The 27,639-nt window shown below is 37.3% G+C and overlaps 1 long non-coding RNA gene across 5 annotated transcripts in view; it reads right to left on the bottom strand.

The window, feature by feature from the left end:
• Window positions 1-27,639, bottom strand: part of LOC105373438 (uncharacterized) — a 220,483-nt gene that overhangs the window by 16,504 nt on the left and 176,340 nt on the right. Inside the window, exons 3-4 of one of the 5 annotated variants that reach the window (NR_188380.1) lie at window positions 18,701-18,843; window positions 14,967-15,059 (exon numbers count right to left, since the gene is read on the bottom strand). The exons of 2 other annotated variants lie outside the window; for them this stretch is intronic. This is a non-coding gene — a long non-coding RNA (uncharacterized LOC105373438). The remainder of the gene's footprint in view (window positions 1-14,966; window positions 15,060-18,700; window positions 18,844-27,639) is intronic. 2 more of the 5 variants (NR_188383.1, NR_188384.1) reach the window with 2 other exon arrangements.

Below are 27,639 nucleotides of genomic sequence, written 5' to 3'. Positions count from 1 at the left end.
CCCTCCCACATGTGGGAATTACGGGAGTACAACTCAAGATGAGATTTGGTTGGGGATACTGAGCTAAACCATACCATTCTGCCTCTGACTGCTCCCAAATCTCATGTTCTCAACTTTCCAAACCAATCATGCCTTCCCAACAGTCCTCCAAAGTCTTAACACATTTCAGCATTAACTCAAAAGTCCACAATCCAAAGTCTCATCTGAGACAAGGCAAGTCCCTTCTGCCTATAAGCCTGTAAATTCAAAAGCTAGTTAGTTACTTCCTAGATCAATGGGTGTGCGGGCATTCAGTAAATACAGCCATCCCAAATGAGAAGAATAGGCTGAACCAAAGGGGCTACAGGACCCATGCATGTCCAAAATCCAGCAGGGCAGTCAAAACTTAAAGCTCCAAAATGATCTCCCTTGACTCCATGTCTCATATCCAGGTCACACTGATGCAAGAGGTGGGTTCCCATGGTCTTAGGCAGCTCTGCTTCTGTGGCTTTGCAGTGTACAGCCTCCTTCCTGACTTCTTCCATGGGCTGGTATTGAGTGTCTGTGGCTTTTCTAAGAGAATGGTGCAAGCTGTTGGTGTATCTACCATTCTAAGGTCTGGAAGATGGTGGCCCTCTTCTCATAGCTTCACTAGGTGGTGCCCCAGTAGGGACTCTGTGTAGGGGCTCTGACTCCACATTTTCCTTCTGTGCTGCCCTAGCAGAGCTTCTCCAGGAGGACCCCATCCCTGTAGCAAACTTCTGCCTGGTCATCCAGGCATTTCCATACATCTTCTGAAATTTAAGCAGAGGTTCCCAATTCTTGACTTCTGTGCACCCACAGACTCAACACCATGTGGAAGGTGTCAAGACATGGAGTTTCCATCCTTTGAAGCAACAGCTCAACCTGTACCTTGGCCCCTTTCGGCCAAGAGAAGATGGGATGGAGGGCACCAAGTCCCTAGACTGCATGCAGCACAGGAACCATGGGGCCAGCCCATGAAACCCATTTTTCCTTCTAGGCCTCCAGGCCTGTGATGGGAGGGGCTGTCATGAAGACCTCTGACATGCCCTGGAGACATTTTCCCCATTGTCTTGGGGATTAACATTCAGCTCCCCATTGCTCATGCAAATTTCTGTAGATGGCTTGAATTGTTCCTCGGAAAATGGGATTTTCTTTTCTATTGCATTGTCAGGCTGGTAATTTTATGAACTTTATGCCATGCTTCCCTTATAAAACTGAATGCGTTTAACAGCACCCAAGTCACTTCTTGAATGTTTTGCTGCTTAGAATTTTTTTCCTCCAGATACCCTAAATCATCTCTTCCAAGTTCAATATTCCATAAATTTCTAGGGTAGGGGCAAAATGCTGCCAGTCTCTTTGCTAAAACATAACAGGACTCACTTTTGCTCCAGTTCCGAACAAGTTCCTCATTTCCATCTGAGACCAACTCAGCCTGGAGTTTATTGTCCATATCACTATCAACATTTTTGGCAAAGCCATTCAACAAGTCTCTAGGAAGTTCCAAACTTTCCTATATTTTCCTGTCTTCTTCTGAACCCTCCAAACTGTTCCAACCTCTGCCTGTTACCCCGTTCCAAAGTCACTTCCACATTTTCAGGTATCTTTTCTGTAGCACCTCACTTCTGGTACCAATTTACTGTATTAGTCCATTTTCATGCTGCTGATAAAGACATACTTGAGACTGGGCAATTTACACAAGAAAGAGGTTTAATGGACTTACAGTTCCATGTGGCTAGGAAGGCCTCAAAATCATGGCAGAAGGCAAAAGGCACTTTTTACATGGCAGTGGCAAGAGAAAGAATGAAAGCTAAATGAAACGGCTTTCTACTTATCAAACCATCAGATTTCGTAAGACATATTAACTACCAAGAGAACAGTATGGGAGAAACCTCAGCCATGATTCGATTATCTCCCATTGGGTCCCGCCCACAACACATGGGAATTATGGGAGTACAATTCAAGATGAGATGTGGTGGGGACATAGAGCCAAACCATATCAGTCTTCTTCACTGAATTTCAGCTGCGTGAAGAACTTTTTATGGCTTGAATATAATTGTTTCTCTATCACTTAGAATATTTGCTGGCAAATACTAGGTATTCGTGAAATCTTTTTGAATAAATAATTAGAGGTTAATATATATTTGTATTCTAGATAGTATATATGATTTATATATTATCTATGTATTAAATATTATACATAATATATAATATATATTACATATACATTATATAATGTATGTGTATATTTTATACATACATGAGTGTATACACACACTTCCACATAAATTTGAAAATTACATTAGAACAGTGATGGTAGGTGTTTTAGTTTTATGCTCCCTTAACCTAGTACAATATCTGATTCTTGGTAAATAGTAGTTGAATACAATGAAACATCAGTGGCATCCTATTCATAAGATTAATCAGTTCGTTATATCATTGTTTATAAATCTAGTGTGAAATGTAGTAAATATCTACTAGCTCAAAATATTTAAATTACTGAAACTGGATATAATAAAAATATTAAAGCCACTTAAAACTTTAAAATAAACTATATTATGCATTCGTAGTTCTATTTATATGTCCATTTTTCATAATTTTCTTCTAGGGGGGAGGGGCCAAGATGGCCGAATAGAAACAGCTCTGGTCTACAGCTCCCAGCGTGAGCAACTCAGAAGATGGGTGATTTCTGCATTTGCAACTGAGGTACCGGGTTCATCTCACTAGGGAGTGCCAGACAGTGGGCGCAGGTCACTGGGTGCGCGTACCGTGTGCGAGCCGAAGCAGGGCGAGGCATTGCCTCACTTGGGAAGCACAAAGGGTCAGGGAGTTCCCTTTCTGAGTCAAAGAAAGGGGTGACGGAGGGCACCTGGAAAATCGGGTCACTCCCACCCGAATACTGCGCTTTTCCGACGGGCTTAAAAAACGGCGCACCACGAGATTATATCCCGCACCTGGCACGGAGGGTCCTACGCCCACGGAGTCTTGCTGATTGCTAGCACAGCAGTCTGAGATCAAACTGCAAGGTGGCAGCGAGGCTGGGGGAGGGGCGCCCGCCATCGCCCAGGCTTGATTAGGTAAACAAAGCAGCCGGGAAGCTCCAACTGGGTGGAGCACACCACAGCTCAAGGAGGCCTGCCTCTGTAGGCTCCACCTCTGGGGGCAGGGCACAGACAAACAAAAAGACAGCAGTAACCTCTGCAGACTTAAATGTCCCTGTCTGACAGCTTTGAAGAGAGCAGTGGTTCTCCCAGCACCCAGCTGGAGATCTGAGAACGGGCAGACTGCCTCCTCAAGTGGGTCCCTGACCCCTGACCCCTGAGCAGCCTAACTGGGAGGCACCCCCCAGCAGGAGCACACTGACACCTCACACGGCAGGATATTCCAACAGACCTGCAGCTGAGGGTCCTGTCTGTTAGAAGGAAAACTAACTAACAGAAAGGACATCCACACCAAAAGCCCACCTGTACATCACCATCATCAAAGACCAAAAGTAGATAAAACCACAAAGATGGGGAAAAAACAGAACAGAAAAACTGGAAACTCTAAAAAGCAGAGCGCCTCTCCTCCTCCAAAGGAACGCAGTTCCTCACCAGCAACGGAACAAAGCTGGATGGAGAATGACTTTGACGAGCTGAGAGAAGAAGGCTTCAGACGATCATATTACTCTGAGCTACGGGAGGACATTCAAACCAAAGGCAAAGAAGTTGAAAACTTTGAAAAAAATTTAGAAGAATGTATAACTAGAATAACCAATACAGAGAAGTGCTTACAGGAGCTGATGGAGCTGAAAACCAAGGCTCAAGAACTACGTGAAGAATGCAGAAGCCTCAGGAGCCGATGCAATCAACTGGAAGAAAGGGTATCAGCAATGGAAGATGAAATGAATGAAATGAAGCGAGAAGGGAAGTTTAGAGAAAAAAGAATAAAAAGAAATGAGCAAAGCCTCCAAGAAATATGGGACTATGTGGAAAGATCAAATCTATGTCTGATTGGTGTACCTGAAAGTGATGGGGAGAATGGAACCAAGTTGGAAAACACTCTGCAGGATATTATCCAGGAGAACTTCCCAATCTAGCAAGGCAGGCCAACGTTCAGATTCAGGAAATACAGAGAACGCCACAAAGATACTCCTCGAGAAGAGCAACTCCAAGACACATAATTGTCAGATTCACCAAAGTTGAAATGAAGGAAAAAATGTTAAGGGCAGCCAGAGAGAAAGGTCGGGTTACCCTCAAAGGGAAGCCCATCAGACTAACAGCAGATCTCTCGGCAGAAATCCTACAAGCCAGAAGAGAGTGGGGGCCAATATTCAACATTCTTAAAGAAAAGAATTTTCAACCCAGAATTTCATATCCAGCCAAACTAAGCTTCGTAAGTGAGGGAGAAATAAAATACTTTACAGACAAGCAAATGCTGAGAGATTTTGTCACCACCAGGCCTGCCCTAAAAGAGCTCCTGAAGGAAGCGCTGAACATGGAAAGGAACAACCAGTACCAGCCGCTGCAAAATCATGCCAAAATGTAAAGGTCATCAAGACTAGGTAGAAACTGCATCAACTAATGAGCAAAATAACCAGCTAACATCATAATGACAGGATCAAATTCACACATAACACTATTAACTTTAAATGTAAATGGACTAAATGCTCCAATTAAAAGACACAGACTGGCAAATTGGATAAAGAGTCAAGACCCATCAGTGTGCTGTATTCAGGAAACCCATCTCACATGCAGAGACACACATAGGCTCAAAATAAAAGGATGGAGGAAGATCTACCAAGCAAATGGAAAACAAAAAAAGGCAGGGGTTGCAATCCTAGTCTCTGATAAAACAGAGTTTAAACCAACAAAGATCAAAAGAGACAAAGAAGGCCATTACATAATGGTAAAGGGATCAATTCAGCAAGAAGAGCTAACTATCCTAAATATATATGCACCCAATACAGGAGCACCAAGATTCATAAAGCAAGTCCTGAGTGACCTACAAAGAGACTTAGACTCCCACACATTAATAATGGGAGACTTTAACACCCCACTGTCTACATTAGACAGATCAATGAGACAGAAAGTCAACAAGGATACCCAGGAATTGAACTCAGCTCTGCACCAAGCGGACCTAATAAACATCTACAGAACTCTCCCCCCCAAATCAACAGAATATACATTTTTTTCAGCACACCACACCTATTCCAAAATTGACCACATACTTGGAAGTAAAGCTCTCCTCAGCAAATGTAAAAGAACACAAATTATAACAAACTATCTCTCAGACCACAGTGCAATCAAACTAGAACTCAGGATTAAGAATCTCACTCAAAACCACTCAACTACATGGAAACTGAACAACCTGCTCCTGAATGACTACTGGGTACATAACAAAATGAAGGCAGAAATAAAGATGTTCTTTGAAACCAACGAGAACAAAGACACAACATACCAGAATCTCTGGGACGCATTCAAAGCAGTGTGTAGAGGGAAATTTATTGCACTAAATGCCCACAAGAGAAAGCAGGAAAGATCCAAAATTGACACCCTAACATCACAATTAAAAGAACTAGAAAAGCAAGAGCAAACACATTCAAGAGCTAGCAGAAGGCAAGAAATAACTAAAATCAGAGCAGAACTGAAGGAAATAGAGACACTAAAAACCCTTCAAAAAATTAATGAATCCAGGAGCTGGTTTTTTGAAAGGATCAACAAAATTGATAGACTGCTAGCAAGACTAATAAAGAAGAAAAGAGAGAGGAATCAAATAGATGCAATAAAAAATGATAAGGGGGATATCACCACCGATCCCACAGAAATACAAACTACCATCAGAGAATACTACAAACACCTCTACTCAAATAAACTGGAAAATCTAGAAGAAATGGATAAATTCCTTGACACAAACACTCTCCCAAGACTAAACCAGGAAGAAATTGAATCTCTGAATAGACCAATAACAGGATCTGAAATTGTGGCAATAATCAATAGCTTACCAACCAAAAAGAGTCCAGGACCAGATGGATTCACAGCCAAATTCTACCAGAGCTACAAGGAGGAACTGGTACCATTCCTTCTGAAACTATTCCAATCAATAGAAAAAGAGGGAATCCTCCCTAACTCATTTTATGAGGCCATCATCATTCTGATACCAAAGCCAGGCAGAGACACAACCAAAAAAGAGAATTTTAGACCAATATCCTTGATGAACATTGATGCAAAAATCCTCAATAAAATACTGGCAAACCGAATCCAGCAGCACATCAAAAAGCTTATCCACCATGATCAAGTGGGCTTCATCCCTGGGATGCAAGGCTGGTTCAATATATGCAAATCAATAAATGTAATCCAGCATATAAACAGAGCCAAAGACAAAAACCACATGATTATCTCAATAGATGCAGAAAAAGCCTTTGACAAAATTCAACAACCCTTCATGGTAAAAACTCTCAATAAATTAGGTACTGATGGGACGTATTTCAAAATAATAAGAGCTATCTATGACAGACCCACAGCCAATATCATACTGAATGGGCAAAAACTGGAAGCATTCCCTTTGAAAACTGGCACAAGACAGGGATGCCCTCTCTCACCACTCCTAGTCAACATAGTGTTGGAAGTTCTGGCCAGGGCAATTAGGCAGGAGAAGGAAACAAAGGGTATTCAATTAGGAAAAGAGGAAGTCAAATTGTCCCTGTTTGCAGATGACATGATTGTATATCTAGAAAACCCCATTGTCTCAGCCCAAAATCTCCTTAAGCTGATAAGCAACTTCAGCAAAGTCTCAGGATACAAAATCAATGTACAAAAATCAGAAACATTCTTATACACCAATAACAGACAAACAGAGAGCCAAATCATGAGTGAACTCCCATTCACAATTGCTTCAAAGAGAATAAAATACCTAGGAATCCAACTTACAAGGGACGTGAAGAACCTCTTCCAGGAGAACTACAAACCACTGCTCAAGGAAATAAAAGAGGATACAAACAAATGGAAGAACATTCCATGCTCATGGGTAGGAAGAATCAGTATCATGAAAATGGCCATACTGCCCAAGGTAATTTACAGATTCAATGCCATCCCCATCAAGCTACCAATGACTTTCTTCACAGAATTGGAAAAAACTACTTTAAAGTTCATATGGAACCAAAAAAGAGCCCGCATCGCCAAGTCAATCCTAAGCCAAAAGAACAAAGCTGGAGGCATCACACTACCTGACTTCAAACTATACTACAAGGCTACAGTAACCAAAACAGCATGGTACTGGTACCAAAACAGAGATATAGATCAATGGAACAGAACAGAGCCCTCAGAAATAACGCCGCATATCTACAACTATCTGATCTTTGACAAACCTGAGAAAAACAAGCAATGGGGAAAGGATTCCCTATTTAATAAATGGTGCTGGGAAAACTGGCTAGCCATATGTAGAAAGCTGAAACTGGATCCCTTCCTTACACCTTATACAAAAATCAATTCAAGATGGATTAAAGACTTAAACGTTAGACCTAAAACCATAAAAACCCTAGAAGAAAACCTAGGCATTACCATTCAGGACATAGGCATGGGCAAGGACTTCATGTCTAAAACACCAAAAGCAATGGCAACAGAAGCCGAAATTGACAAGTGGGATCTAATTAAACTAAAGAGCTTCTTCACAGCAAAAGAAACTACCATCAGAGTGAACAGGCAACCTACAAAATGGGAGAAAATTTTTGCAACCTACTCATCTGACAAAGGACTAATATCCAGAATCTACAAAGAACTCAAACAAATTTACAAGAAAAAAAAAACAACCCCATCAAAAAGTGGGCCAAGGACATGAACAGACACTTCTCAAAAGAAGACATTAATGCAGCCAAAAGACACATGAAAAAATGCTCATCATCACTGGCCATCAGAGAAATGCAAATCAAAACCACAATGAGATACCATCTCACACCAGTTAGAATGGCAATCATTAAAAAGCCAGGAAACAACAGATGCTGGAGAGGATGTGGAGAAATAGGAACACTTTTACACTGTTGGTGGGACTGTAAACTAGTTCAACCATTGTGGAAGTCAGTGTGGCGATTCCTCAGGGATCTAGAACTGGAAATACCATTTGACCCAGCCATCCCATTACTGGGTATATACCGAAAGGACTAGAAATCATGCTGCTATAGACACATATGTTTATTGCGGCACTATTCACAATAGCAAAGACTTGGAACCAACCCAAATGTCCAACAATGATAGACTGGATTAAGAAAATGTGGCACATAGACACCATGGAATACTATGCAGCCATAAAAAATGATGAGTTCATGTCCTTTGTAGGGACATGGATGAAATTGGAAATCATCATTCTCAGTAAACTATCGCAAGAACAAAAAACCAAACACCGCATATTCTCACTCATAGGTGGGAATTGAACAATGAGAACACATGGACACAGGAAGGGGAACATCACACTCTGGGGACTGTTGTGGGGTGGGGGGAGGCGGGAGGGATAGCATAGGGAGATATACCTAATGCTAGATGACGAGTTAGTGGGCGCAGCGCACCAGCATGGCACATGTATACATATGTAACTAACCTGCGCAATGTGCACATGTACCCTAAAACTTAAAGTATAATAATAAAAAAAAAATTTTTCTTCTAAAAGTATTTGTGTACTGATACACAAAACAAAAGCTCTAAACTTAATTCAACAATTGCCTTTTGCATGAACTTTTTTCATATTATTTACATTTAAATAAGTATAATTAGATTTTTATCAAAATGTATTGTTATAAACCCATTGTACTGTTTTAAAACTCCAACACCAAGTAAGGGTTTGTTTACCAAACAAGTGTTATTGATTTCTTGCTGAAACCACCTTTGCAAAAATTATGTCAGATAATCATGGTGGTTGAGGAGATCTGATCTAGCCAGCCACCATCTTGCCTTTCGCCTTCAAACTGCTTTAAGTAATCATGGGCTTAGGCCAGCTAACTTTGGGAGACATTTAGTTTATAGTTTAAATGACAGTAGCCATTTCCCAAAACTCAGCTGCCTTTGTAAAGCTAATGAGAGATCACAAAGCTAGGGTTAGGAGAGAAGCCTGAATTATGCTAAGGAGTAGACCCAGAAACCATTGTTAGGCATTATCCTGGAGGTCATAAGATATGCAACTTCCCCAATTTCCCTTGCAGATAACATCACTATTGTAGAACCTAAGATTGGCCTTTCAAGATATTTTTTCTGTTTTTTTTTTTTTTTCATGTCTGATCACTGATGGCTCCACCTTCACCTGCCAATCACTCCTGTGGTCCCACCCAGAAGTGACTCAGCCAAAGAGGCCAGCTTCGACTTCCCTATGATTCCATCTTTGACCCAATCAGAACCGCCATTACCCTAGCTCCCTGCCCACCAAGCTGTCTTTGAAAAACTCCTACCCTCAAAACCTCTAGGTGACTTATTTGAGCAATAACTCTATCTCCCATTTGACATGATTAGCCTTGCATCAGTTAAACTCTTTTTTACTGCAATGCCATGGTATTTGTGCAGTGGACAGAGAGAACCCATCAGGCAGTTACATTGCATTATTATACTTTTTTAGGAGCATAGAAATAATTCAAGCACACAGTTGAGATTGGTTTAATGAATCTAATGCTAATGAACAAAGGTTATTTTTAAAAAAACAGTTTTTGTGATATTAAACCATGAGATGATAAGTAAATATCAAAACACACATATTTTTAATAAATTAAGAGATACCCAAAATTCAAGAGATAAAAGCAAGCATTCGTCAATCCAGCTCAGTGATTGAGAATAATTATTTTTTTCAAATTATATATCATAATCTGTTTTTTTATTTTAACAAGCAATTACTATGCAAAAATAAAAATGGAATTTTAGCATTAATACAGCCTTTGAATTCCCCTGAGGACTGAAGGGTTTAGTAATAATACAAAGTGCTTAGCATTTATGAAAGAGATTAAAGCTGTGATGAAATTAATGTAGAAATGGTCAATGGCCAGGTCATGTAGGACAGCAGAATTCTAATCCACCATGTCTGCAGCAACCTGGCCAGGAAGCCAAACCCCAACTACAGCAATTGGCCCCAAAGCATCCAAACTGGATCAATGATTGCTACTTCTCTTTACCTCAGTTTCAAGACAGCACCAACTACAGAAAGCCAAATATGTTTTCCAAAGCAATCACCTGTCAATGAAGAGTCAAACTCTGTAAAATATCTGAAGACATTTATTGTGAGCCAAATATGAGTGTCCATGGTCCGTGACACAGCACTCAGGAGATTGTGAGAACATGTACTCAAGGTGGTCAGGGCACAACTTGGTTTTATACATTTTAGGGAGATATAAGGCATCAATTAATACTTGTAAGATGTATATTGGTTCAGTTAGGAAAGTTGGAAAAACTCTAAGTGGGAGCTTCCAAGTCACAGGCAGCTTCAAAGATTTTCTGATTGGCAATTGGTTGAAAGAGCTATTATCAATAGAAAGGTATGTCTGGGTTATACTAAGGATTTGTGGACACCAAGGTTTTATCTTCCAGATGTAGTGTCCATGTAGCAGGTTTCAGAGAGAGTAGATTAAAAATGATTTTTATCAGACTTAAAGATTCTCTTCTATCAGTGACTCCAAAAGGGAGAAGGGTATATATAAATGAGGCATCTCTATTCCCCTCCACGTTGTGGCCTGAACTATTTTTTCATGTTAACTTAGGAATGCCCTTGCTGAGAGGAGAGATCCATTCAGATGGTTGCAGGGGCTCAGAATTTTGTTTTTGGTTTACATGCCTAAGATGTTCTGCTGCTCATTTCCAGCTTTTCCATGACAAGAATCTCGAGTGAAAGCATACCTGGAATCGTCCCTTTTTCTCTACAGAGCTCCCTCACTCCCCTGTCTCCTTTGAGTCTGTAGCAAATGCAAGTGAGAATGGTGGCAACTCTTCTAAATTTGATTTCTGAATCTTCTGTTTGTTTTCATTTTAGTCATCTTTGTTTATTTTTTACCAAACTCATAAGTAGAGACTTTTAAATCAACTACATCTAAAAAACAAAATGTGTCAGTTTAAAATATTATTTTTAGTATTTTTATTGTAGGTTACATGACTGTGCTTAGTGTATTTAAAAAAGAATTAAATATTTCTTGTCGAACACAAAAGAATTTTTCAAATATACCAAATAAAATTAGTAAAATGAAATCTTTTAGGTTTTCTCAAAATATAAATGTCATAAAACATTGTTTTTCATTAAAAATAAAAATCTGATTTTGTTGGTACTCAACTCAAAATCTTCACATGGCTTTTTTTAGAACTTTATTAAAATATTTATTTTTCCCATCTGTGGCTGGAGATAGATATATACACATCTGGTGAGAATAAAAGGAATTCTGATAATACTAGCCTGAAGTATAAAGTATATCAAGTTTTTCTCCAGTCTCATCTCATATAGCTTTCTGCTTATTAAATATTGTATTCTGTAGTCATATTGAAGTATTCACAATTTTTGGCATATCTATTTTGATTCCTGTAATTCAATTTAATTCAATAAATAAGTCCTTAATTGATAACACGCCCAGTGCCAAAATCCAAAGACAATATCCCTTTTGTGGAATTGACATCCTGATGGAGTGGACATTTTCTCTGACTGGGTTACTCTCCCTAACTGAAAAATCCCTGTATTATTATGTTTTTACTCCAGTTCCTCTCCTCAACTAAGGCTTTCTTAAAACATCCAGGCAACAGTAATTGTTTCCTGTTCTGAGTTTCCAGAACTACATCTATATATCTCTTCTATAGCCATCAGTTTGCATTATACACTGTCCTATCACTGTTTATGGTAATTTTTGCTAACATCTATTAAGTTCTTTCAGTGGACAATACATCATGCTGCACTTTACGCTCATTATCTTAACAAATTCCATCCCTAATTTATAGTGTGCATTCTTATTATCACCATTTATACAAGAGTAAATTGAGGAATACAGAGGTTTATTAATTTGGCCAAAAAAAAGTGTGTCTCCCAAAAATTTGTATGTTGAAATGCTAACCTCCAAAGTAATAATAATAGGAGATGGACCTTTTTGGGAGGTGACTGGGTCATGAGGACAGAGGTCTCATGAATGGGATTAGTGCCCTTATTAAAGAATCTGATAAAAACCTATAGCCCTTCTACCATGAAAGAACATAAAAGAAGGCACCCTCTATGAACACCTATGAAATTGACTTTCACTAGACCTTAAACCTACCTGTGCCTTGATCTCGGACTTCTTTTCATTCACCAGAACTGTGATAAATAAATTTCTGCTGTTTATAAGCCACCCAATTTATGATATTTTGTCATAGCAGCCCAATGGAACTAGAGCACCAACTATTTTGACCTTTAGCAACACACATTTGAAAAATAAAGACATTTCTTTCATTTTGGTTTGGCACTGGTTTGGTTGTTAAAAATGTGTCCAAAACCATCTTGTAGTTGGATGTCATTGTATCTGTTATCTTCATTTCCTTTTTCATAATGAAAAGATTATCTGTTTTTCATTATTTTGATTGAGTTATCAAAATCTATATTGCATTGGCTAATTCAGATTTTAGATCAGTTTCTGATTTCATTTTGGAGCATTAGACAACAAAATTTTTTACCTTCTTTTTGCATTTTTTTTTTGGCGTATTTACAAAAAAATGATATTGATAGCAAATTTGAAGAAACCCACTGAAAAATGTCAGAACATTTTTGAGTGGCTGGATGACATTTAATTGGGTAGCATATAAACAACTTAACATTCACAATTTCTAGCACAGTTAACAACACCTCACAAAATCATTTGTCAAAATTGCCAATTTAAAGACTGGGTGACAGAGCCAGACTCCATCTCAAAAAAGAAATTTAACAGATTCTAAAGATTATGATAAAATAGGCCAAATTATAGGCACCCATCTAATCAACTGGTAACTTCCACAACCCTCTAGTTCCACATCATAGTTTTAGGGAGAAGGAATTACCCAAATATCAAAGCTTAGGGAATTCTTAAATAAAAATGACCTATCATATTTTTTTCCCTGATAATTACATCTACATGTATTAAACATTATTAAAAATGATATGCATTGTTTGTGATGGCCGTTTTGTGTTTCCATTTTTATTTTCAGAATTGAATTGCTGCCAGCTCTGTGTCCCATTCAGATCTTGTTACCCATATAACATCTGAGCAGTGACATTGTGCCTCCACAAGGTATCACAGGAAGAGATAGTGACTAGAATTACGTAGGACTAGTCTCATGGGAAGATACTGTGCTTGAAAAAAGAAGTGTTCATATTCTCTATATTTTGATATATTAAATCTTATTGAAAATTTATAGGCAAACTCTAATCATGTATATTGATTATAACAAAGCTATCATAAACAAAAGCAATGACTTCAAAGTATTTGAATTAAAGCAGCAGGAGGATAGCATCCAAAAATTTCCAAAGGAAAATGAATTAAGAAAATTATTCTGGTGTGTCATGTGCCACTGTATTGGATATAAGCAGCCATATCTTGTCATCTTCTTGGGAACACAATTTGAGTCTTAAAGTCCTAGGCTTCTGGAGGTTTTTTATTAAATGGTGTTAATTTGAGCTCACTCATGAGTGTAAAATTCCACTGGTGTACAGGTTAGTAGTATGCCTGCACTGTTTTGAATCTTGACTGCTATTGCTATGCTCAGAAGGATATAAAATGTTCTCTTCAAGCAAGGATAAACAACTTTTGTATTACTATTAGTCTCTCTTCCAGTAGATCCAGTTTCCATGCTGGAAATCATGCAATGTTTGGAAGGTGGCTTGTACTTGCTAAATCTAATTATAAGTATAACAAGTAAGTCCTTGACTGCATTTAGCTACATCTATGTGTAACATGAAGCCAGTTACTGGTAAAATTTTTCTAAATATTACAAATTCCGTGAAATGTTTTGATACGATCTCACAGGGAGAAAGTTGCTTTGTACTCTGAGATTTTTTCCATGACCACTAATGTTAGTGAAAAAATTTTAGGCCAAGACAGAGAAGCAAATTCTTATAGTTTGGACGATTTTAACTTTAGCATCATGTTTACTGTTACTAATTTTCCTAATAACTGGGGGTGATATAAACAGTGAACTAATTTCTTCAGTAAGAGAAGAAGGTTGATGGGCTCTTTCTGTGTAGGGAATAAAGAGTGTAGTATTTAGTTTGGTGCAAAATTGATTGCAGTCTTTGACATTACTTTTGCACCAACCTAAATAGTATTTTTGTCACTTCATCAACTATAGCCCTCTATCAATGAAAATATCATAGCTAACCAGAAACTTTATAAACAAGAACTTTATAAAATATACTCATAAATATTTGGGCTGTTGCATGAAATTCATTTGTAAATAAATGCTTGATAAGACTTTGAGGAGGAAGCCCTGAACAATTTTTCATCTTTACATAGTCTCAGGATTTTGCTGCTTATAGATGAGCCATGTAGAAACTATCTTTTTAATTATATAAAGAGCAATAAAGAAGCAATTTGACCTGGAAATGTAATGTTTCTAGGAAGCCAGGATAAAATCACCAGTATCCATCATTAAAGACGGAGAAGTCCTCTGATAGTGGATATATATTTTTTCAGAATTTTGAGCTGATTGCTTTGAGTCAATCACAATTTTATCAATTTATTAGCACTTAATATATTGGGTGGGTAAATGCCACATTTACCAACGGAATAAGACAAGCCATTGCCCTTAGCTTCAGGAGTGGTCTCTAATATGGAGTACTAGTTTATTTACAGATAGCACTTTGCTGCATTGAATAGCTTTTTAAACTGCACTGTTATTTACCATTTTCAATAGACCTGTGTATTTCAGCCATATATTGTCAAATAGCACAAAACTCGGAAAGCACATCTACTATTTGCATAAGGGTTTACTTTTTAAGCTTTTTCCAGAGTTCATGCTCAAATTGGAGATGTTGAGTTTAGTTACCTGAGCAGATTAAGGGTTAAGAATAGAACTTCTTTGATAACTTCAAGTTCAGTGGTAACAGCATATCCCACATAACGAACGCCTTCACCATTTCTAAGATAAGAGCCATATCAAACAATATTAATTTAGTATTGAATAAGAGGGATCTGTACAATCATAATTGAACATTCTTAATTCTTGAGTTACTACTAAATAGACATTTGGTTCTCCACGTAGAAGAAGTAAACTCGCAGGATTAAGATTTTAACAAAGTTTAATGGTAGTACAAACAATAAAAACTTTTCATGAGTCTTCATGTGGTAAATTAAGAATTAACCAGAGTTATCTGCATGTGGAACCTGTCAAGTTAGCACAGAGCAGTTTGGCCGCCACTGATACTTCACACAAGCAGAAATCTATGCTTTACCCTTTTGAGTGGAGGGTTAGGCTAAAAGCATGGGTCTGGTATAAAACTACTTTACCATGTTAGTAGTCCTAATTCACAATCTCCTCTTTCATAAACAAAAAGACAGAAGGACTTAGCATAATTAGGGATACCCAAAGTTGGAGGCTGCTGCAGACAGGTCCTTAAAGAAAAGGAACTGTTTTCCTTTCCTATCCCATGGGAGATACCAGTATTAGTAAACACATGTGAAGGCTGATGTATTTTAGGGGAAAAGGCATTATTGCCTACATAAAGCAGTCAATCCTAAAATATAAAATGAAAAAGCTTTTAGTTGTTTTTAATTTGGAGTCAATGTAGTCAAATAAGCTTATTCTCACAGAGTAGAATACATGTCTGATGAGATCACAACCTAAATATTGCATAATTTCTTCACAGATTTGCAAGTTTTCTCTAGGTGCTTTCTGTTCCTCTTCAGTTAATCTTCTTGAGCGATATATGGAGTTCTCCTGTGGACTCCTTCAAGGAGCACAGCACTAAATCATCTACATTTCATTCCAGGGTGTATTTTCAAGCAAGAGTCAAATCTGTGATTATTATTTAGACATCGGGAGAAATATAAGGGTGTTTTCATAAATACCAGAGGCATAACCAACTAGGGAGATTGCTGATTGTCCCAGAAAAGAGTAAATAAATACTGACTGCCCTTACCTACTAGTTCCTAAATAAGACTGCAAATAAATCTGCCATCTTAAAGTGTTTACTTGGTAGTTAGAAGCTTCGGGAAATCTAGGGATCACAGTTCTATTGATTGCCCTGAGGCCTTGTACACATAAGTAGCCTTTTACACTAAGCTGCTTAACTGGCAATATGGGAGTACCGCAAGGACTGATGCCTGACACAGTGAGTCCTCAATAATAGGTCTTCTTCCTGAGGTTGCTTGAGGTCTCAAAACACACTGAAATATAATTCGGCTAAGGGCTTATACGGAATAATTTTAATTTTAATAAAGTAAGCTCCATGTATTCTGCTCAGTTTAATAAAATCTTTGGCCCAAAGAGTAGAGGGTAACTAATCTAATATTTGATTTGTAGAGGTCATTGGGTGCACAGAAACTGGGGTATACATGAGTGCTATAAATTGGTTTACGCAGCCTATTCCTTTGGGATCTCTAGATATCTACCAGCTTAAAAAGATTTAATTTGACAGTTTTGACCTAATAAATTTTGTTGGAGCAGTGTTGCAAAATAGAAAGTCATGTTCTTCCTCCAATTATTTGCTTCAAATTGTTAAGGTTGTGAGGCTGCTAGGATCATAGGTTCATTTGAGATGTCCACTGCCTCTACTCTATTTGTATCTTAAAGGAATATTTTGGCATAAGTCACAAAATTTATTCTGAAAGAGAAGCCACTGTATCTGTTAGAAATGTGCCAGCCTTTCCTGAGCAATCATATTAATTTCATTTTAATTGTCTAGAAAAATCAGTAAATATATTAATTTGATCCGGATCCATATAGATGGGGCATTGTTGAATCTCTAAGTTGGCTCATTAGACCCCCTTTTTAGTTTCTGAGGAGCAGTAAATTTTTTAGTGTTCATATTTTCCACTCAAGTTCTCCATACCAGTCTACTTCTGGTCTTTGCTTTGTTAATATAAATTATGCCAAATATTTTGGCCAAATCTACTTTCATAAAGAAGACATTTAGGATGCCCTGAGGCTAACCTATTTCTTTAGTGTTCTACACATTTTCTTCTGACTTGTGACACGCTAATATTCTTCAATTGAGTTTCAGTTTGCTCTTTGGAACCATCTGTAACCTTCTGATGGTGAGACTATTATATTTATAGGTGGATAAAACTCTAACAGAACTGGACTTTAGCAGTAGAAAATATTTTAATTCCAGGAAATGTGCTGGGTCTCATAGGCTTGAAGAATCATTTTACTGTAACATGGAGCTTCACTTGTGACCAATTTTCAAAAACAATGGCATAAACTTTCCCTGGAGGGTGGGAATAAAATCTTAGTGGGGATTGTGAGATAATTTTTCCTTTACTGAGATTAAGCTCAACAATGAGGAAGAATATGGGGCTAACAGACACAATGAAAGGAGGAGTTTGGAAAACCCCATGAGGATGATATTGGGAGAATATTGCAAAGTTTAGTCTTCTAAACAGTCAGAATATTATAACTTTGCAGGATATAGTGGAAGTAGACTGTAAGGTCTAGGAAGACAGAAATGGAGAGAGGGAGAGAAAAATAAGTGGTACAGTCATAAATGGTTAACTTGATAATTAGCTAGCCTTTTGCTTAGTATTTACTACAGGATTCTTTGAAAAAGTTAATTTTGAGTTATGAAAACACTTAAATCCTTTGACCCACACTCAAATAAAGAGCTCATGAAAGATAGAGGCTTACTTTCTTTTTGTCCTAAGATGCAAGAGAAGTGTAAGACCTTGTGGAAAAATGAACATTATTCAAAATTCAATTCTAAACATTTTTAGATGTATGTGTGCGATTTTATTAGCTATGTACATGAATCTGACATGCAGCAAACATAAGACATAGGGATCCTGGTGTGTGGTAGGGTTTGATTTTTTGAATTGACAGAATGTTATTATAAACAACAAAAAGGAGATTACATCAATTGTTGCTAGACACCTGTAAACAAGGCACTCTCCTCACTCCACAGTTTGGGTTGGGCTACTGGTCTGATTTACAAGATGCTGATTCCAAGTAATGGAATAGCTTATATTCCAAACAATGAGCTATCTGAGAAACTCCTTGACAATACACAGATCCACTAACAGAACAGATCAGACATTGCAGAGATTCCCTCTCTTTGTGGCATTCAAAGGAGAAACTATTACTTCTCTGTATTCAAGCATGAAGAGACCAGAAGGCTGTGAATCAAAATGAACAGAAACTCGTAAGAAAGAACAAGAAAAAACTCAGTGAGAGCCAAAATTAATGTAGTAACTATAATGTACTCAGTCAAACAAGCCAATAAAAAGTTGAAATCAAGATTCGATGGGCCTATGAGGTATTTCGTTCAAGAGTCACTGGTTAATTTACTTCAAGAGGTATTGTGATCAAGTAATTTTGGTGGCATTTCTAGAATGTTAAAGAGTATGAAGACTAAAAGCATTGCTACCAACAATATAAGCTGATACAACAGAGAGTCTAGGTACGTTCTCAGGAATAAGATAAGTAAAGTAAAAGAGAAGTTGATCTTCAAAAGCCAAAGACTCATATTAAGAAGTATACTGATTGGTCCGCAAAATCTAGATTTGTTGGTTGTGAGAGCACTGCACTGGTAGAAAGTGTTCTGTCTGTCTCAAGATTATAAATACCTTTGCTGGATACTGAAGTTTCCATCTTGAGATCATGGCTTTCAGCTTTCTCTTCACATGCCCAGTTCACAGTTATTTCACCCAGTTGAATCTGCATCAATGTAAACAGGGTATGTGGCCAGATCAAGAATTTTCAATCAGGTCTACAACGGTATCAGACAGCCCGATGGTCAGTTTGAGGACTCAGTCAAGACACTTTTATACTCACTTAACAAAAATCTTTACTTAGTATTATTATAAACAATGACGTATAATATAATTGGAAGTCTAGGAGTAGGTCTGATTCCAGGGATGTCTGAGCAGTAGCTTAATAATGTCATCTAAGACTGAAGCCCTTCTAGTCTATGTGTTCTCTGATAGCATTATCACACAGGGGTTAAGAGAATAGGTTCACAAGTACAACTGCTTGCCTTGCTTGAACTCTCTTACTAATATACCATACAGAGCCCAGTACCTACTGCTAGTAAAACACACACACACACACACACACACCCCATAGAAAAGTACCTTAAACTAAATATTAGTTGTTATTCCATCTTATTTGCTTTAACATTTTGTTGTAGTAAGATGAATACCGATGCCATATACAATTTGTTCGTCCTATTCATCATTCCATATGTACATAGTGTGACTCTGTGCTAAGTCCTGTTCCATGCCACAGAAGGAAAGAAACACTTCATCATAGAAAATGAATTATTGGTCTTTCCATTTAATTAAGTAAAGTAGATGAATATGCAATGAAAGAAAGAAACCTGAACAAGAGAGGCATTCTAGTAGGAGAGAGAAAGGTAGAAAAGAAGGTTGGGAAGGCAAAACATATTCACCACACATATAAAAATTAACACATAAGTTACAAGGATATAAAAATAAAATCAGAAGTTACACTATGCCATTAATATATCTAACATCTGTAAAAGTGAAATGGGAGAGGTCCCTGATCCCCCTCGCAGGACATGTGACAAGGGTGTGGCTCATCTGTTTGCCTGCCATGCCCTCAAACCCCTTACAGGAGGGGGAGCATGCAGACAGGCAGGTGTAGGAGTAAGGGTGAGCACTTTTGGCTCCGGCCCCACGGTAGCATCTAGGGGTGGGTGACTGCAACTCCCAAAGCCCTAGTGTGCACATTACAGTGCTCTTGTAGCTCTGCCATCTGCAGATGGCTTAAGTGTTAACCAGCTCAATGCCCCCCTGCCAGGTTCTTGTCCGGCATCCAGGAAGAATCAGGTCACAGGGACAAATTGAAAGATGGTAAATGCGGGGGTTTTATTGCTGGATGGAGGTGGCTCTCAGTGGGATGGATGGGGAGCTGGAGGGGGATGGAGTAGGAAGATAATCTTCCCCTGGAGTTTGGCCATCCCATGGCTGATCTCCTCCCTGACTGTCCCCAGATGAACTTTCGACGTTCACATGTTCCTTCTCTTCTCTCCTCTGCCACACAGCTCTTCTGCTACTCTGCTCATCTGCTCATGGAGCCTGTGGTTTGGATTTATATGATGATATGGTTTGGTTGTGTCCCCACCCAAATCTCATCTTGAATTGTGGCTCCCGTAATTCCCAGGTGTTGTGGGTCGGGGGGACCTGGTGGGAGATAATTAAATCATGGGGGTGGTTTTCCCTACACTGTTCTCATGGTAGTGAATTAGTCTCACAAGATCTGATGGTTTCATAAGGGAAAGCCCTTTTGCTTGGCTGTCATTCTATCTCTGCTGGTCATCATTTAAGATGTGTCTTTTGCCTTCCACCATGATTGTGACGCCTCCATAGCCAAGTGGAACTGTGAGTCCATTAAACCTCTTTCCTTTATAAATTACCCAATATCAGGTATCTCTTTATCAGCAGTGTGAAAAGAAACTAATACACCTGGGTACAGGATGCGGGGGGTGTGTTGGGCCAAAAGGCAACATTTGGGTGCAAAAACAGGAATGTACATTTTCATTTAGGGCTGTAGGTTTCCAGGCTTGATGGTGGGGCATTTGCTGAGGAATCACTCTCTTCTACCCAGAATCTACGTGCCTCTTGTCTGTATCAAAAGGTTACTATGTTCTAAAAGTTCAGTTAGTCATCATTATTTCATTTGATGTTTAATCACTTTTCAGAGATACTCTAATAAATATTTTTACCTGAGAAAATTAAAACAAAAAGAATTTCATAATTTACAAAAACAGCTTATAAAAGGTAAAGCTAGTAAGAAAACCTAAATCTTGGACTGAGACAATGGGGTTTTCTAGATATACAATCATGTCATCTGCAAACAGGCACAATTTGACTTCCTCTTTTCCTAATTGAATACCCTTTGTTTCCTTCTCCTGCCTAATTGCCCTGGCCAGAACTTCCAACACTATGTTGAATAGGAGTGGTGAGAGAGGGCATCCCTGTCTTGTGCCAGTTTTCAAAGGGAATGCTTCCAGTTTTTGCCCATTCAGTAAGATATTGGCTGTGGGTATGTCATAGACAGCTCTTATTATTTTGAGATACGTCCCATCAATACCTAATTCATTGAGAGTTTTTAGGATGAAGGGTTGTTGAATTTTGTCAAAGGCTTTTTCTGCATCTATTGAGATAATCATGTGGTTTTTGTCTTTGGTTCTGTTTATATGCTGGATTACATTTATTGATTTGCATATGTTGAACCAGCCTTGCATCCCAGGGATGAAGCCCACTTGATCATGGTGGATAAGCTTTTTGATGTGCTGCTGGATTCGGTTTGCCAGTATTTTATTGAGGATTTTTGCATCAATGTTCATCAAGGATATTGGTCTAAAATTCTCTTTTTTGGTTGTGTCTCTGCCCGGCTTTGGTATAAGGATGATGCTGGCATCATAAAATGAGTTAGGGAGGATTCCCTCTTTTTCTATTGATTGGAATAGTTTCAGAAGGAATAGTACCAGCTCCTCCTTGTACCTCTGGTAGAAGTACCATCTGGTCCTGGACTTTTTTTGGTTGGTAAGCTATTGATTATTGCCACAATTTCAGAGCCTGTTATTGGTCTATTCAGAGAGTCAACTTCTTCCTGGTTTACTCTTGGGAGGGTGTATGTGTTGAAGAATTTATCAATTTTTTCTAGATTTTCTAGCTTATTTGCATAGAGGTGTTTGTAGTTTTCTCTGATGGTAGTTTGTATTTCAGTGGGATCGGTGGTGATATCCCCTTTATCATTTTTTATTGCATCTATTTGATTCTTCTCTCTTTTCTTCTTTATTAGTCTTGCTAACGGTCTATCAATTTTGTTGATCTTTTCAAAAAACCAGCTCCTGGATTCATTAATTTTTGAAGGGTTTTTTTGTGTCTCTATTTCCTTCAGTTCTGCTCTGATTTTAGTTATTTCTTGCCTTCTGCTAGCTTTTGAATGTGTTTGCTCTTGCTTTTCTAGTTCTATTAATTGTGATGTTAGGGTGTCAATTTTGGATCTTTCCTGCTTTCTCTTGTGGGCATTTGGTGCTATAAATTTCCCCCTACACACTGCTTTGAATGCGTCCCAGAGATTCTGGTATGTTGTGCCTTTGTTCTCATTGGTTAGAAAGCTGAAACTGGACCCCTTCCTTACACCTTACACAAAAATTAATTCAAGATGGATTAAAGACTTACATGTTAGACCTAAAACCATAAAAACCCTAGAAGAAAACCTAGGCATTACCATTCAGGACATAGGCATGGGCAAGGACTTCATGTCTAAAACACCAAAAGCAATGGCAAGAAAAGCCAAAATTGACAAATGGGATCTACTTAAACTAAAGAGCTTCTGCACAGCAAAAGAAACTACCATCAGAGTGAACAGGCAACCTACAAAATGGGAGAAAATTTTCGCAACCTACTCATCTGACAAAGGGCTAATATCCAGAATCTACAATGAACTCAAACAAATTTACAAGAAAAAAAAAACAACCCCATCAAAAAGTGGGCGAAGGACATGAACAGACACTTCTCAAAAGAAGACATTAATGCAGCCAAAAAACACATGAAAAAATGCTCATCTTCACTGGCCATCAGAGAAATGCAAATCAAAACCACAATGAGATACCATCTCACACCAGTTAGAATGGCAATCATTAAAAAGTCAGGAAACAACAGGTGCTGGAGAGGATGTGGAGAAATAGGAACACTTTTACACTGTTGGTGGGACTGTAAACTAGTTCAACCATTGTGGAAGTCAGTGTGGCGATTCCTCAGGGATCTAGACCTAGAAATACCATCTGACCCAGCCATCCCATTACTGGGTATATACCCCAAGGATTATAAATCATGCTGCTATAAAGACACATGCACATGTATGTTTACTGCGGCACTATTCGCAATAGCAAAGACTTGGAACCAACCCAAATTCCAACAATGATAGACTGGATTAAGAAAATGTGGCCCATATACACCATGGAATACTATGCATCCATAAAAAATGATGAGTTCATGTCCTTTGTAGGGACATGGATGAAGCTGGAAACCATCATTCTCAGCGAACTATCGCAAGGACAAAAAACCAAACACTGGATGTTTTCACTCATAGGTGGGAATTGAACAATGAGAACACATGGACACAGGAAGGGGAACATCACACTCCGGGGACCGTCGTGGGGTGGGGGGAGCGGGGAGGGATAGCATTAGGAGGTATATCTAATGCTAAATGACGAGTTAATGGGTGCAGCATACCAACATGGCACATGTATACATATGTAACAAACCTGCAGATTGTGCACATGTACCCTAAAATTTAAAGTATAATAATAATAATAAAAAGAAAAAAAAAAGAAAACCTAAATTCAACTGATCGTAGATCTTAAGCTCATAAACCCTATTCTACCTTTGATTACTTGAATTTTCATTATACATAAGCAAAGTAGAGTGTTACTATAAGTCATTGGAAAAATAATTATTCAAGAAAAAACTCTGGAACAATGAGATTAGTGCACAAAAACATTTCGCTAACCAAATACATAGTCATACAATACAAGCATGCTGAAGAATTAAATTTATAAATAAAGCTGTCAATCAACTGTCAACAAGAAAAGAAAGCAAATAGATTATCAGCTAAGGTATAAGGTTATCATTTTTAACATAAAAGTTTCAAAAATTTGTTATACAAATTTGAATAACTTTTTATTTATATCATTTTAAAACTAAATATTTTAAAGCAAAAATACAGAATGGCACAAATTAGAAAACATTTTGGTATACAATATATAAAAGTCTTATTAAAATCAATAACAGAAATACACCTTAATAAAAAGTAGTGAACATGACAAGAGAGCTTACTAAAGAAATACAAATACAAATACCTTTAGCAATGAAAAATTTTATTTGTTTGCTTTGAAAGAATAAAGAAATGCCATTTTATTCGGTTAAAAGTATACCATCTTGAAATAAAAACAAAGATACCTTATTTGGATAGGGTGGGCATAATAATCACTCCATTATAATTCTTCTTGGAAAGTTCATTTTTGCAATCTTTCTAAAAATACTTAAGGTAGGGATCTACCAGTCACCAGTGCTTTCTTACATAAGAACTTAAATGAGGATAATCAGAGATTAATATTGTATGTCCCTATCAGATTATAAACTAGTGAGTAGCTTCTTTTTTATTTTATTCCTCAAAGATTTAGGACACTTTAGACTCTGACTAGACCATGAATACCCTCACCCAATGAGATCCTGAGAGAAGTATATTTAGAAGGTAAAATAGCAATAAATAAATACTAACATTTGAGTTAGCTCATATGTGTAGAATAGAAAATAGAAAACAATTTATATGTCAAAATAGGATAATAAATATATGTTATATTTTAAAAATATTTTATCCAGCTATTTTAAAATTATATGTTATGAATATTCCTAGTATTTGGGTAGAAATGATTAAAATTATATTTAAATTTAATTAAATATATTCTACATATGAAAGCATGATTCCAATTTTTAAAAACATAAATATAAATGCTACTTTGATGATGTGCTTTTGAGTTCTGGTTCTGTTTATCTAACCCAGTGTACATGAAAAGATAAAGATGGTAATGGTTTCTGTATCGCAAATCTTCCTCTATGGAAGATTATTCCGTTTAAAACAGAAGTAAAGAGTTATACAGTTGGCCTTTCATATCCATGGGTTCAACATTCACAGAAAAAACCAACCATGGATAGAAAGTATTTTTAAAAACCTAAAAAATAACAATACAGTAAAAAATAACCCAAATAAAAAATATGGTTTAACAATTATGTACAGAGCATTTACATTGTATTGGGTATTTTAACTAATCTAGAGATGATTTAAATTATACAGAGGATTTGCATAGTTTACATGTAAATACTACACACCACTCTATATAAGGGGCTTGAGCATCCGCAGATTTGGTATCTGAGGAAGTCCCAGAACCCATCCCTTGCAGAAGCCAAGAGCTGACACTGCATTGATACATTTGGTGTCCTTGGGCTTAACATACATCTTGAATCAGTAATAATTTAGTCTGATTAACAACATTTGACTGGGAGAATGAAACAACTTATTAAAATCATCTTTCTCCGGTAAACTAAGTGGGTGAATAAATGTTAATTAGTATCCGAGGGTTAAATGAGCTCGTCACAGATAAGATGTCAATTTCAGAGAAAATATGGCATGGTGATGAGGTACACGGTTGCACAGCACACAAAAAAAGCTAAGCCTTGGTTCTGGGGCAGCTGTCACTACACCCACCTCACTTGTTTATATCATGCTTGGAGGATCAACTGATCACTTAAATCTTCTACACAGAGAAATATAATTTCTGTAAAGTGGATCTCCAGCACATCCAATTTTAGTGCCAGGGGAAAAGAAATTAAATTCTGGAGTCATACCAACATTTACTTCTCTACATTAAAAGTCAGTGTGGGGAACTTTGTATAGGTACCAGCAAGGATGTTTTGGTGCCATTACTATCTTTTCTTTACGAATCCATTGTATCCCGTTGACACAGGTGGACTAGATAGGATTCAAGTAAACTTTATGCATATAATTTAATTTATTGTAGAATTCATTCCGCTAAAGTCAATATCTCCATTCATATTAAAGTCAATATTTCCATTCATATTAAAATATTAAAGCAGGAATCTGCAAACTGTGGTCTGGGCCAATCCAACCTATTGCCTGATTTTGTACAGTCTATAAGCTAAGAAACATTTTTACTTTTCTAAACGGTTGAACAAAATTAAAAGATTAATAATATATTATGACATGTAAAATTATATGACATTCAAATGTTAGTGTCCGTAACTAAAGTTTTATTGGAACATACCTATGCTCATGTATCTGCACGTTGTCTCTGCCTGCTTTCATACCACAATGGCAGAGTTGAGTAGTTGTGTTAGAGACTGTTTGAACCAGAAAGCCTAAAATATTTACTCTCTGGCCCTTTACAGAAAAGCTTGCTGACCCCTGTATTAAAGTAACCCAAGATGCTAACTCTTACATATTTTTGAGTTTGATAGTATTTTGGAATATAATCTGTATACTAAAAAGGAAAAATATGTACATTATAATGAAAATGGAGAACTTGGGCCAAATGCAGTGGCTCATGCCTGTAATCCCAACACTTTGGGAGGCCGAGATGGGAGGATTGCTTGAGGCCAGGAATTTGAGACCAGCCTGGTCAACGTAGCGAGATCCCATCACTGAAAAAAAAGAAAATGGGGAACTCAAGATGTAGATTTACCAGAAATTTGTTGCTTTGAATAGGGTATGTAATTTGGAATTAGGTTAATGTCAACTACCATTCAACTATGTGTTTGTGTAAATATAGTAATAATTTTATACCTCAGTAATGTATAAGTAAAATGTTGGTTTGATCGAAGGAAGTGGTTACTAAATAACTGTATTTAGCAAAATAAGGGAAAATGCATAGATTATTATTTCAAAATAAAATTTTAATTTAACTTGGTCTACCTTCCTTTTATAAAGCCATTTTATTTCTGTGATATTAAATATCTTTTTTATGAAGATTCCATGACAGTAAATAGAATTTGGTATTGTCATTTTTATTTTTCATTTACAAAAGGCAAATTAAAAACAGGAACCCATTTACACAGACATGCAAACTCACACATGCACACACATACACACACAGATATGTACACTCATACACAGAAATATATGTATATGTAAACATAGACATAAATGAACATGTATACATACCTGTGCATATATTTACATGCTAAATATTTTTAAGTGTTCTGAATAATTTGGCTGGCTGTCACTTATGTTATATCCATCTTTAAAGTACATTTATGCTTTATGCCTGTGAGTTTTCAAATAAAGACTAACTTAGCATAATTTTTGAGAAAATGTCTAACCCTGCTAGAACATTAGGGGAAATTTAAATGACTACTGCAATATTGTGTATTCAGTGGCACAATGGTTACTTAACTGTCATGCCGTCTAAAATATTGACTTCGGTCACATGAGCTAAATCATTTCTCCTATTTTTTTCTAAGAAAAAAATTACACCAAGGTTTTAGAATTCATTGTGATTCATAGCTTCTGTGTCTACAGAAGTATTTCAAGTGCATTCTTCTCTAACACGATCACCTTTTGAATTGATTTGCTATATTACATGTTAGAACAAATGACCAGCTGCTCTAAGAAAACAGAGCAATTCCCATCATAGCCTCCACTCTAAACTTTTTATCTTTGTGGGCAATTTGAAGAACCTGACTAAGGAATTATATCTATTCTTTTCTGACAGTATGTGCCCAATTACTTAAATATCTAACTTGTATCTATTGATCTCTATTGAATTTCCTTTGTCCTCAAAAGCCTTTGAGGAATTCTCTAAATTCAAACAAGTATATTTTCCTGAAAGGTAAAAATGGAAACCCTAGGGGCCTGATATTTGCAAGAATAATTCTGAAATGTTCTATTCATTGCGTCTATATCATCTCATGAATTGCTTTTCTTCATGTTCACAATTTTATGTCTTGTTATAAAC

The sequence above is a fragment of the Homo sapiens genome, chromosome 2, assembly GCF_000001405.40.
Source record: "Homo sapiens chromosome 2, GRCh38.p14 Primary Assembly".
Lineage (NCBI taxonomy): Eukaryota > Metazoa > Chordata > Mammalia > Primates > Hominidae > Homo > Homo sapiens.
Note: the sequence above shows the minus strand (reverse complement) of the source record. Positions and strands in the feature narration are given on the sequence as shown.